Source organism: Homo sapiens, chromosome 12 (genome assembly GCF_000001405.40).
Source record: "Homo sapiens chromosome 12, GRCh38.p14 Primary Assembly".
Classification (NCBI taxonomy): domain Eukaryota; kingdom Metazoa; phylum Chordata; class Mammalia; order Primates; family Hominidae; genus Homo; species Homo sapiens.
Genome location: NC_000012.12, coordinates 130561865 through 130574632, shown reverse-complemented (window position 1 = coordinate 130574632; position 12768 = coordinate 130561865). Strand labels below are relative to the sequence as shown.

Sequence of the window (12768 nt, the reverse complement as noted above, 5' to 3'; positions counted from 1 at the left end):
GCTGCAGATGGCTGGAGCTTGTGAGACCTCAGACCAGAAAGGGGAAGCTGCCTGCGGCCTACCAGGTTCAGCGATGCATCTCCATGTCTCTCACACACACTGGGAGCTTTTATGTAAAAGATAAAATGATGGCAACCACAGACTTCTTTAAAAGGAAATAACTTGCCCCAGAATTCTCTCATGTCATTGGCAATAGAATGAGATGAGAATTTGACTCTGTTGTGGGGGGTTTTCTTAGGCTGACTGGAGAATAGGAGCTCCTTGAGGCTGAGTTCCTAGGGAAGGAGGTAGCTCGCCATGTGTGTGGTGTCCCCCTCGGTGATGAACATGGGGGTTGTGGATGTCACCGCCCACCGCCACCCCCCCAACAGGACAGCTGCTGCTGTTTCTCAAAATGCTGCATCTTGCATTTATTTAGCTCCAGCCAGAAACAAAATAGTGTTTATGACAAGGTTTTATTTTGATCTGTTTGATAATTTTTTCTCATTTAGATTTCCTTGTTTGCTAGTTATGTTTCACTCTAAATCCCTCTGAAGGGGGGAAAGTAAGCTTGACCTCCCCGCGTGCCATCCCTTAGCGTGGTGATAATCCCTCGATGTGAAAACCCACTCTAGGAGACAGACCCAGCTGCTTAGTTCTCTGCTTGCCATTTTCCTTCCCGTCAGAATTGGCAACTCTTTCCCTTCTTCACTTCTGAATTCCATGTGTGCCTGCAGGGATGTGGGTGGAGGCTGGAAAGTGAGCTGGAGGGGAGCATGTTGGGGGAACTTGCTGGGGATGGGATTTCTGTGTGGACAGCCATGCTCCAGGCCTGGATCAGCCTAGAGCGCTTTCAAAATGACCCACATCCCAAAGTTTGGCAGCTCGGCTGTGTCATGCTGACTTGGCTTCCTGCGTTTCTCCACTTGCACCCTCCTGCCCCACTCCTGCACCCATGTCCTTGGCTACCCCTGTCACTGAGGACCAGACACAGCCATCACCCCCCCAGGTGGGGGTCAGCCCACCCTGCCCTGTCCTAGAGTCACATCTCTGAACTTCAAAGACTGTTCAGACCCATCACCAATGTCTAATTAGACCCAGCTCAGAGAATCGCTAATACATTTATGCAGCTCACTTTCTGATCACGTCTATATCTCCAGTAAGCACACGCACCTCACACTTGCACACCCACATGCACCCACGCACGCACCCACGCACACACCCACGCACACACTCACACGCACACAGTCGCACACACACGCGCGAACACTTATCTGTCTTTAAAAGTATCATACTAACAGTAAAGAACATTTAAAAATATTGACCTCTGATCCTACTGCAATCCAACAGTTATTTTTGCAATCATCGTCTCTATGCTCCGAGTCTTTTACTTTGTTATTTACAATATATAAATATAAAAATATAATATACATGAAGTATGCAATAAATATAGAATAAGTATAGATACATAGAATAAATACATATATACCTTTTTTTGGGATGAAGCCATTGCTATAGGGGGCCTGCAGTGTTGCTTCACTGATTTCTCAAAGGCTGCCATGTCTGCTTTGTGGTCTGACCACGTTTTGGGGCAGGCGCTGGGCACTTGAACTGGATCTGCTTGGCTGCAGCCAGCAGTGGCTGTGGGAAGAAGGCTTCGTCACTCGCAGCTGCCGTGGACAGCTCTGTCCCCCCGGGGGGAAGGATGCCCTGTGGCGGAATCTGGGTCCCTCCTCACAGCTCCCACAGCCCTCCTGACCCTGCTCCTACCCTGGCTCCTGCCTCGCTCCACCTGTCCCCTGAGTTGGTGGGTGCATCCCTCTGGCCCCGTCCCGTGGTGACAGTGCATACAGGTCGTCCTGCTGCACACGCGCTGGCTGTGTGCCAGCGTTCCCCAGAGCAGTGCCCCTTCTCCACCGAGAAACCCTGTGAGTCCCTGCACAGCCTCTGGATTAATTAACTCGAATGAGCATAAGCTGCCTTCTTCTGTTTGCATCTCTTGTGTCTGTTTTGTAGCAGTGCTTTCTATAACAGCACATCATGCTGTGGAAATCGGTGTCACATCCCTGCCCCTGTCAGCTTTCTAGAATCATCCAGCAAGTTCACGCAGCCCAGTAAAACCTGCACACAGGGGAAAGGGATGGAAGAATCAGGTCGTCTCCAGCCGCCTTGTAAAGGATGAGTCCACCGTCAGGCCCAGGGAGCCGAGTGTCCAAGGAAGGTCCCTTCTATACCTGATGCTCATGCGAGCCGGGAAGAAGGAAAATCAATGGGTTTTTTGTGACTGCTGGTTGCGGGGGTGATTCCATGTTTGGGGTTACTGTGAGTGCATTTGGGACTCAGGAGCGCCTGGGTCTTCAAAGGCATCTTTTGCTGATGTGTCCAAGTAGCTGGGACCTCCGTGGTGCGTGCAGTGGGAGGCCCCTCCTCCTAACACGTCTGTGGGTTTTCCGGCCGCTTTGTCCCTGTCACCCGTGCTAAGTTTCCTTCATCCCCGGCCTTCCTCATAACTCCTGGCCATGCTGTTTCACGCACTGGGGGTGGAGCAGGGAACTGAAGTGAGTCTGCTCTCAGAGCACCTGCTAGCTGGGAGACAAACAGTAGATACACCAATGGCTAAGGCTGGCATGGATGCAGCTGTGCAGGAGCAGCGAAGGGGTAGAGGTGACCGAGGGCGCCGGGACAGGCCGACCATCTGAGTGCAGCCAGGGACGGTGCTCAGGGTGGAGGGGGCTCTAGGGGTGTCCAGGTGGGAAGGGGCAGCATGTACAGCCCCGAGGTGGGCTCCCTGGGTGTGTGAGGGGGCCACAGGGAGGCCAGTGTGGGGCAGCAGAGTGAGTGAAGGGGACACAGCAGATGGCAGGTCTGAGAGGCCATGGGGGCCAGATACAAACAGCCTTGGAGGCCACAGTGAGGTTCCCGTTTTGTCCCAAGTGGGGTGGGACGGCACAGGAGGGTCTTGAGTATGCAGGTGGTGCCAACTGTCTGAGCATTAAGAGGTTACTGTGGAGTTCGAGATCAGCCTGGCCAACATGGTAAAACCCCGTCTCTATTAAAAATATAAAAATTAGCTGGGCATGGTGGCGGGCGCCTGTAATTCCAGCTACCCGGGAGGCTAAGGCAGGAGAATCGCTTGAACCTGGGAGGCGGAGGTTGCAGTGAGCCGAGATTGTGCCATTGCACTCCAGCCTGGGCAAAAAAGTGAGACTCTGTCTCCAAAAAAAAAAAAAAAAAAAATGTTACTATGGGTAGCAGTAGCACACACGGCAGCTGAGTCTTGTGTGTGGCAGCGAACACGTGGTCAAAAACCACTAAACATCTAGTGTCAGGGAGTTGCAGTTCCTAGACCTGCCAGGGTGGTTCCCCTTGCGGGGACCCATGCATGGCTGTTTTCTGTCATGGCCTCCCACTTCCCCTCCCCTGGCTGAGCTACTTCTCTCCCCCCCATCTCTAGTAACCCCCCAGTCTTTCTCCCTTTATGATGCAGACCCAGTAAAGCCTATATCTCTCTTTCCTCCTCCTTCCGGAACTCAGCCCTCTTCCCGCCATGGATTAGCCCCTTCCCTCAAGTGCCAAAACAATGACCGCAGCACGTTTTTTCTCGTGACATTTTTTTCTCAGTTCCTGCCATAAATTCAGTTCTAAGCTCCATGAGGGCAGGGCCTTTGCCTGTTTCTTCCCCATCTTTGTGTTCCTGGCACCAGCGACATCCCCCAATGCGTAGCAGGCCTTCAGTAAGCACTTGTGGAGTTAATTTCTCCTTTATCCACCTGCTTAAAGAAAAGCACCTGCCCACTCTAATTGCTGCAGTTATTTTTATTCTGTGACCTTGTTGATTATTCCCAGTCATCATCATGTTCATGAAAGTGCATAAGAAGGAACTGATGTTGCGCTTAACACTGTTCTCATTGGGTCAGAGTCCTATATGACTGTGTGTGGTGGGAACTGCTAGAGTCACTGCTCCACAGAGGGTGGGGAGCAGGCAGACTAGACGACTCCTCCACAGTGCAGAGAGCAGGCAGTCTAGACGACTCGTCCACAGCCACACAGAGCAGGTGTCGCGCAGGCAGTCTAGCCAAGGTCTGTCCTCACCTCTTACCTGTCACCTTCTGTTGCTCCTGTTTTATGCTGTTCCTCAGGTGTTGACATATCAGTGTTTTCCTCCTTTCTGAAGTTTGTTCCCGTAAAGAGCTTAAAATTTCAGGGTTTTTGTTTGGTCTCTTTTTTTGAGACAGAGTCTAGCTCTGTTGCCCAGGCTGGAGTGCAGTGGTGTGATCTCAGCTCACTGCAACCTCCGCCTCCTGGGCTCAATCTATCCTCCCACCTCAGCCTCCCAACTAGCTGGGCCTTCGGGTGCAAGCCACCATACCCGGCTAATTTTTTTGTGTTTTTTATAGAGACGGGCCTTTACCATGTTGCGCAGGCTCATCTCAAACTCCTAGGCTCAAGTCATCCTCCTGCCTTGGCATCCTAAAGTGCTAGGATTACAGGTGTGAGTCACTATACCTGGCCTAAAATTCCAGGTTTTAATACATCACAGAGAGAGAGGAAAGAGAGTGGATCTTCCTGTCAAGCAGATCCGGGCTGTGCTTTGGTATTTCGGAAATAATCAAGGTGTGTGATTTTCATACAAACATGATGGCATTCCTTCCTCATAAAGGTGTGTGTGAAATGAGTGTGTGCAGAGTAAGGTAGGTTTCCAATGAGTTCATTATTTATATAAACCATTAAGTAGATGCCTTTTAAATGCAAATAATTGGCCGTGTCATGTTGTATCAGGCCATATACGTATTACTGTAAAGAAATACCTGAGACTGGGTAGTTTATAAAGAAAACAGGTTTAATGGGCTCATGGTTCTGCAGGGTGTACAGGAAGCATGGCTGGGGAGGCCTCAGGAAACGCTCAGTCATGGCGGAAGGTGAAGAGGGAACAGGCGTCTTGCACAGTGAGTGCAGGAGCGAGAGAGAAGAGGGAGGGGCTGCACGCTTTTAAATGGCCAGATCTCGTGAGAACCCACTATCAGGAGAATAGCTCCAAGGCTATGGTATAAACCATGATCCAATCACTTCCCACCAGGCTGCACCTGCAACCCTGGGGCTTGCAATTCAACATGAGATGTGGTGGGGACGCAGATCCAAACCATAGCGCATGTCAGTTTATGTAGACAGGTATTTGTTCCAGTTGGGGACAGCTGGTTTTAGGTTGCGTGGCTCAGCCCCAGCTTTCTCAAGGGTCACTGGAGTGCGGTGAGTTTTTGGAGAAGAACTGGGCGTGAGAAGAAGGAGCCTGGGATTCTGTTAGTGAGATGGCTGGAGGGGGACGCTTTGCTCTTTAAGCTAACAAGGCTTTCTCTTCTCTGGAAGCTGCCTCCTGATGTTTCTTCATGAGTCCGATGCCTGCCGTTCAGGTCGTGACCGAGGTCATGCTGTTCATGTGGTGACACGGTTCACTTAGAGCCGGATGAGGCTGTCCCAGGGCCCAGGGAGCTGACATGTCCTGGACTAGCAGTGTGTGGACTGTCTAGTAGGTGTTCCCAGTCTGCTTCATGTGATCCTATGAGAATAAGGTTTTATACACGGAACTGAAGACAGTCATAAAATACATGAGGATGTCCTGTCTGCTCCAGCTTCTCGGTGGGGGGTCTCCAAGGCAGTAGATGTCAGATAGGTGCCCTGTCACTAACACACAGCTCCAATAGTTACAATGGCTGTGTGAGGAGGGCACGTGGCATTTTAGAAATCAACTCTAGGAATTCGGGTTTTTTTCCATTGGATAATGCCCTGGGATCCAGAAATAGCTTTCCTACTCAGCAGATGCCCTCTTGGCACTCAAATAATTCTGCCCACCTCACAGGAGCTGGCTGGAAAAAAAGAGTTTGTGAAATAGCGTGTATCAAATCATTTACGTAAGAAACATGACTGTGGGATTGGGGACCTGGAAGTGTTTTCAACAGATGTCTCAAAGCAAAGCATTTAGCTCTGAGCACTTGGGAAGAAGCGCACAGATCAAGTTGGCAAAGGGGCTGTTCATCTGGCAGAGACTTTCATTGCCACTGGAGTCTCCTGAGCGGCAGAGCTTGTCTCTCCATTGCTTCTGGGTTTCCCAGAGGGGAGCACGTCATTGTCAACCCGAAATTAGAAGTCAGGATCAAAAGGCTGAATGTCTGCTCACGGCTCTCTGGGACTGGCCCCAGGGCCTGTGTGGATACCAGAGAACTCTGTCCATGCATAGGAGCTGACTTAGGGTTACCACTGATCCAGCCAGACTGTTAGATCTGGATTCCTGGGAACTTAATGCTTGCACAGGAGGCAGAGGAGTTAGTTGTCTGGGGAGCTGAAGCACATGAGAAACAGCCACAGAAGAGAAAGTTCTCAAACCCCCACACCCCCGTGCTGAGTCCCCTGAGATATCCTGGGTCTCCCCTCTTGCAAGGTTGGTTGGTTGAGCTTTGCTTTAGAAGTTATGAGAAACCCTGCCTTCTTCTATAAATTTACATCCTACCTTAAGACTGCCAAAGGCCGTTTCTGTTGCTGACAATGGAGAGAACCTTAACTAATCTGGAATGGAGGGACACCTGATGTTAGATTTCCAATCAGCAGGCTATCTTTTGGAGGAAACATCATATATAATGGTCCTGGGACCACGGGCCTTTTTTTTTAATTGGTGCATGGCAGGTGATGTTCGTGGGATGGCTCCAAGGCATAGGTAAGACAGGCCAAGGTGCACTGAAAGGCACAGGTGTATCAGGTGAGGCAGAGTCAGGAGACAGAGCCCATGCTAATTATTTCCACAGAGAGAATTCCCTATGAAGAACTGCAGGCTAGGTAATAGAGACCTAGAAAGGCGATGCCGAGTGGCTCCCCCTGCAAGGCTGGAGGACCAGGGGGAAGAGGTGGGATGATTAAGACTTAGAGGCAGGGTGGAGGGGACCCAGACCCCTGAAAGGGGTGTTGGCCGCTGTGGCTGCTATGCCCAGGGGGATATGTGATGCTGAGCCTGCAAATGTGGGAAAATGGCAAGTAGGAACCTGCTGCCCCTTCCCAGGGACGTGCCGATGCCCAGTTATGTGGGGGGCAACTGGACAAAGACCCTCAGGGACCCTCCCTCCTCCCTCTCCCCCGTTCTGTCTCCCTCTAGTGTCCCTTCAGGCAGAGTGGGGGATAGAAGGGTGGGTTCCAGAGGAGGCAAGACACGCTCCAGGCTGGAAAGTACATCAGAGTGCACATGAGCGCAATCCTAACATGGTGATGTCATGAACTCGCATTTTTCAGAACATATGCAAACTAATAAGCATCAGCCTTTCTAGTAATCAGTTTGTGGTGGGACAAGGGACTCTGCCTTCTTGTGGTGCATACGCCAGCTGCCAGACCATGCGGAAACCTGGGGCCTGCAAACATGTTCTGTGTCTTTAATCCACGGTTGCTTCTTCTGAATCCATAGATGATGATTATGTGAATACTTATAAAGATTTCACCCATCTGGACATCTCAAAAGCTTCCTTGCTTATAAAGAATTTTAATTTTCCCTGGCTGTATTTTGTATTTGACTTTCCCTGAGTTTGGTCTGGTCAGAGCTTTTTATACCAACTTCCTTCACCTCTTTCATCTTCGCTATGCCTTTCTTCTGACTCTGCCTTTGAAAGCATTTCCTACTCCCCTCTTTCCTGTGCATTTAAGCCCACCCTAACCATCGAAGCTGTAGGCACAGCTGCCCTCTGCCCATTAAAGGGAGCTGAAAAACATGAAGGCTGGAGTGATAATCCCTTAATGCAGCCCTAGGAGACATTGAGCAGCATGGTATTGCTTAGTTATTGTGTTGTATCAGTTATCAAGTGCTGTGTAACAAATTATCCCCAAACTTAGCAATTTTAAAAGAACAAACTCTGGTTATCTCACCATTTCTGAGGGTCAGGATCCTAGAAGCAGCCTGGCTGCCTGGTCTGGCTTCAGCTTCTCACGAGATGTGCAGTCAAGCTGTCGGCTGGGGCTGCAGAGTCCGGAGGCTCAGCTGAAGCTGGTGATGGATCACTTCCAACTTGTCTGGTGCGGTTGCTGGCAGGTTCAGCTCCTTGCTGGTCATTGGCTGGAGGCTTTGACCCTCAGCTCATGGACCTCTCCATAGGCTGTTCATAAAATGGTAGCTTGCTGCTTCTAGAACAACTCATGAGAGAGGGACCACTGTGTCTTTTATAACCTAACCTCAGAAGCGACGTATCACAGCTTCTCTATTCTGTTAGAAGTGAGCCACTAAGTTTAGCCCATAATCAAGTTAATCTCCGCCTCCTTAAAGATAGAGCATCAGGTAATTTGTGGACATATTTTTCAAGCCACCTTGCACCTCTTGTCTAGAGGGGCAATAGCAGCTCCACTTTCTCTATTATTGCCTTACAGGAAGTGGGGCCCAGAATTGCCCAAACACCTGCTATGTTTTAGAAGCTAGGACTGTTGAGTGAGTGTGTGTGTGTGTGTGTGTGTGTGCATGTGTGTATAAATTGGCAACAAATTTAAAAAGTTAAACACTATGCAGACTGAGCAAAATGAATTCAGCCTATGGGCTGGCAGATTACAGCCTTTGACCTTGGGCAGGCAGATTACAGATTTGACCCTCTTTATCAATGACAAGTTCCATCGCATAGTTCTCGTTAGGAACTGATACTTGACAAGCCTGCTAGGAAGAAAATGCATCATCTCTGATACAGGTTTTCACATTCTCACCATTCATTTTTGGGAGTAGAAACAATATTATTTTAAAGACAATGGAATATGGCAATAAATTGGCTCTTCCCTCTTCCATCTCCAGCAAAATTGGGATGCTGTGTGGCAACAGCCCTGAAATCACTGCTTTCTATTTATTTCGTTAACAGTGTTTTTCATATCACCCTTTGTGCTGCTGTGTGAACAAATGTGATGGTAATAAATAAAAAGATCTACAAAGAAAGACCCCAAACATGTTACTGAGCTACAAAATAATTTTAAAAAGAGGGGACAAGGAGTGGGCTTTGTAGTTGGGATACTAGCAGGAATCTCGGAGTTAAGGGAGCTCATGGTTATCCTAGAAATAGTGATAAAATGGGGAATGGCTTAGTTCTTTTCTGAGAATAAGGAAGCAACCACATGTGTATCCACTTAATTGACACATAGTTTGAGCCCACCTCTTTTCCAGGCACTACCGTAGGTGCTAGGATCCAGCATCAAATGAAACAACATCATTGATGCATGGAACTCATGATCCATTGGGGAGAGACAGCTGACAATGATATGATACCTAGTTTGAGAGTGGAAGTGCTGGGTCATAGCTGACTCTGTGTTTAAAATCCTCCATACCCTGTTTCCCATTTTACATCCCTACCAGCAAGGGTTGAGTTCCAATTTCTCCACATCCTTGACAACATTTGTAACTTTCCATTTTTTAAAAAAATTATTTTAAATAATAGGCATCTGAACTTGGGAGGTCAAGGCTGCAGTGAGCCATGATCACACCATGCACTCTAGCCTGGGTGACAGAGTTCTCAAAAAAATAAATAAAAATAAAATTATAGGCATCATAAAGGGCAGGAAGTAATATTTCATTGTGGTTTTGACTTACATTTCCTTCCCCCTGCTGCTTTATGGTGGTATAATTGGATACCAAAAACTGTACATAATTAATTTATACAGTTTGAGTTTGGACATATGTACACATTCATGTTATCACTGTGATCAAGGTAATAAACACACTCTTCACCTCCAAAAGTTTTCTTGGGTTTCCTTGTTGTTCTGTGTGTGTGTGGTAAGAACACTTAAATTGAGTCTACCCTCTTAACACAATTTAAGTGCAGAGTACCTTATTAACTGTAGGCTCAGGGTTGCAAAGCAGATCTCTGGAACTAATGCATCTTGTATATCAGTGAACTTGAACCCCATTGAACCACAACTCCCCACATCCCCCTCTTACATCCCCTGTTAACTGCCACTGTTTAGAGGCCTTATATAAAAGGAGTGTTACAGTATTTGTCCTTCTGCAACTGGCTTATTTCACTTAGCGTAATGTCTTTGAGGTCTATCCACGCTGTTGCAAGTGGTAGAATTCCCTTCCTTTTTTCAGGCTGAATAATATTCCATTGTATGTATATACCCTATTTCCTTTGCATCTCCCTGATGGCTAAGAATGCTGAATGCCCTTTCATGGGCTTTTTGGCCATTTGTTATACCATTGTTGCTGGCGAAATGTTAACTCTAAAATAGTTAATTGTATGTTATGTAAATCTCACCCCAATTTTTAAAATGTTAGAAAAAAGTAAAAGATTTGGCGCATCTAAATGAGAAATGCTTTGGGAAAAAAACACAGTGCTGAAAAGACTGGGGAAATAAAATAAGGAGGAAGGGGACATCTGAGAAGTTGTAAAAGGTGGTCAGGGTGGCGTCGGATGAAATATGGCCAAAGACCTGAAGGGTGGGGGAGTTAGCCACGTGGGCACCTGGGAGAAGAGGAAGAGGGCACAGAGAGAGGTGCAAGGGCCCTGGGACTGGGACTGCCTGACTTGTATAGGAACAGCAGGCCTGAAGGGTGGGGGAGTTAGCCACGTGGGCACCTGGGAGAAGAGGAAGAGGGGACAGAGAGAGGTGCAAGGGCCCTGGGACTGGGACTGCCTGACTTGTATAGGAACAGCAGGGAGGCTGGTGTGGTAGAGATGGAGTGAGCGAGGGGAAAATGTAGCAGCAGAGGAGGCTGGGAAGCCAGGTTATGTAGAGCCCAGCAGGTGTAGGAAGGTTTTTGGCTTTTGTATATAATTGAAACGGAAAACCACTGCAGGATTTTAGATGGAAGAATGATGCAAGCTGACTTACATTTCAAAAGGATCGCTCTAGCTGCTGGGTTGGTGGAGAGGGTGAGGTTATTACAGTAACACAGAGAAGAGATGAGAGTACCTGTGAACCCACTTCTAGTCAATGTACATTTGGGATGACTTGACTACTGGCTTGAAATGGCCAACCCGGCTCAAGATTTAAATAAGCATCACTGAAAAAATAATTGCACTTAAATAAAGCCCTGCTGCAGTAGGGCATATTTGTTTATCCCTTCAAAGGATGTTAGCATTAGAAATGAAAGCTCCCAGTATAGTCTCAATGATGAGTCACCGTTTTCATACTTGATTCCCTATGAAGTCTGACTGGGCCATTCCTTTGAACAGCTTAATAATTGTAGAAGAATCCTAAACCTTTTGCTATTAACCTTTGATCTAGAAATTCAACCCCATTGACTTTCAGGCAATCCTTTGATCTATTCTTCCATTTGGTATTTGAACCAATTTAGCCTTCTCATGCTCAGGTTAATCACTGGACTTCCAGCTGGAGATGCCACCAGGTGTCTTGTTGAGGAAGAGGCTTGGCAGGGCGTAAGAACGCGTTTCAAGTGTCTGGTAATTCATTTATTTGTGGAAGAAAAATGTAGAGTGGTCTAAGGGGCGATGGGAATATGAAATTGACAGGGTGGGTCCTTGTGTGTCACTTGCACTTAAGATTTTAAGATGCTTTTTGAAAAGCCCTCTGAGATTTAGAACCAAACTCAGGATAACAGTGTTTTAGCAGATACATTTTATGCAGCGTGAATGCGTTTTTAGCTTCTGGTTTAGTCCTCAGTTAGAAAGATAGATGAGATCAGTAAAGTCAAAAGCTGTCCACAGCCAGCCGTCCGTCATACCAAGCTACGCTGTCAGAGATTTCTGCTTAGATTTTATTAAATGCACAGTGAGTTACTCCCAGCTCAGTGATTTTCCCCTGCCTTTCAAATTCCCTTCACTCTTGAATGTGCCCAGTGGAATTCTGATGAGCTGTCAGATACAGACCACTCTTACAGAATTGAGAAGGCACTTGGTTGCTTGCTGACATCCATTTTTCATTTATTCCTGCCAAACAGAACTCCAGCTGCTGTTGTTTTTTCAGGTTTCCACTCCTTTTCCAAGGCCCCACCCTTGTAGCCAAGGCTAAGCTCCTTTGGCCTTAGAACCCCAGCCTTTATGAGGGGTTGGTCCTGGATAGGGGATGTGATCCAACTCTGGCCAATGAGAGAAGAGGAGAGGCTCATAGATGGCTACTAGAAAAGATTTTTCTTTCTTCTATGTGAGCTTCCAGAAGTACTCCTGTACTTCCTTCCCTTGGTTGCTGTCAAGCAAAGGTGACTGGTCCTGCTGAACCCATGTCACTTCAGCCTGACAGCAAGTTTGATATACAGAAAAGAGTAGAAGCCAGGCACTTGCCAGGTAGGGTCCCTGGATCAAGTCATTCCTGAAGGCTGATCTATGCCAGGACTTCCAGTTAGGTAAAGTCATAATTTTCCATTTCAATTAAGCTAGCTTAAATTGCTTTTTCTATTTCTAGCAGATAAAACTCCACTCTATTAAGAATTTTATGGAACTATTGTTCCTTGTGAATAAAGTATTCTAAGTTTCATGGAGGGTGGCTTTGAAGTAAGTTAATAAAATCCAATTTTAGATTACACACAAATGTTTCATTTGCTAAGTATTAGAAAAAGAATGCACTAAAAGAGTGATGGATATATATTTTAAAACTTAAACTTTAAAAATTGATGATATATCTCCCCTCCTTGTGTGTCTGATTTTATGCTTTATTTCACAGATCAAAGGTAATGTCATTTTTGCAGAGTTTGATAGTTTTCCCGTCATTTTTTCTGCACTTTTCTATATTTTAACATTTTTTGACAGTGAACATATATTACTATAACCATCAGAATAAATTATTAATAAAAGATAAATTCAGATAAATTTAAGACTCTTCCCAAACTCTGGAGAA

At 47.0% G+C, this 12768-nt stretch overlaps 1 protein-coding gene across 35 annotated transcripts in view, besides 2 other annotated features; it reads left to right on the top strand.

Annotated features, from left to right (window-relative positions):
• The window catches only part of RIMBP2 (RIMS binding protein 2), a 320167-nt gene that overhangs the window by 141667 nt on the left and 165732 nt on the right, over window positions 1-12768 (top strand). Inside the window, exon 3 of one of the 35 annotated variants that reach the window (NM_001393624.1) lies at window positions 11288-11378. The exons of the other annotated variants lie outside the window; for them this stretch is intronic. The gene's annotated coding sequence lies outside the window, so the exon portion shown is untranslated. The remainder of the gene's footprint in view (window positions 1-11287; window positions 11379-12768) is intronic. 35 annotated transcript variants of the gene reach the window in all.
• Window positions 10606-11805: an enhancer, noted in NCBI's record as "CDK7 strongly-dependent group 2 enhancer chr12:131047373-131048572 (GRCh37/hg19 assembly coordinates)". NCBI's record gives its function as "activates an origin of replication core promoter dependent on BRD2, BRD4, P300/CBP, MED14 and CDK7 cofactors, with strong dependence on CDK7, by STARR-seq in HCT116 cells {active_cell/tissue: HCT116}" and the evidence as "EXISTENCE:reporter gene assay evidence [ECO:0000049][PMID:35650434]".
• Window positions 11439-11608: an enhancer, noted in NCBI's record as "experimental_25896 CRE fragment used in MPRA reporter constructs". NCBI's record gives its function as "activates a minimal promoter by MPRAs in K562 erythroleukemia cells, with activity observed for both the introgressed and non-introgressed 12:131047655 variant alleles {active_cell/tissue: K562}" and the evidence as "EXISTENCE:reporter gene assay evidence [ECO:0000049][PMID:34662402]".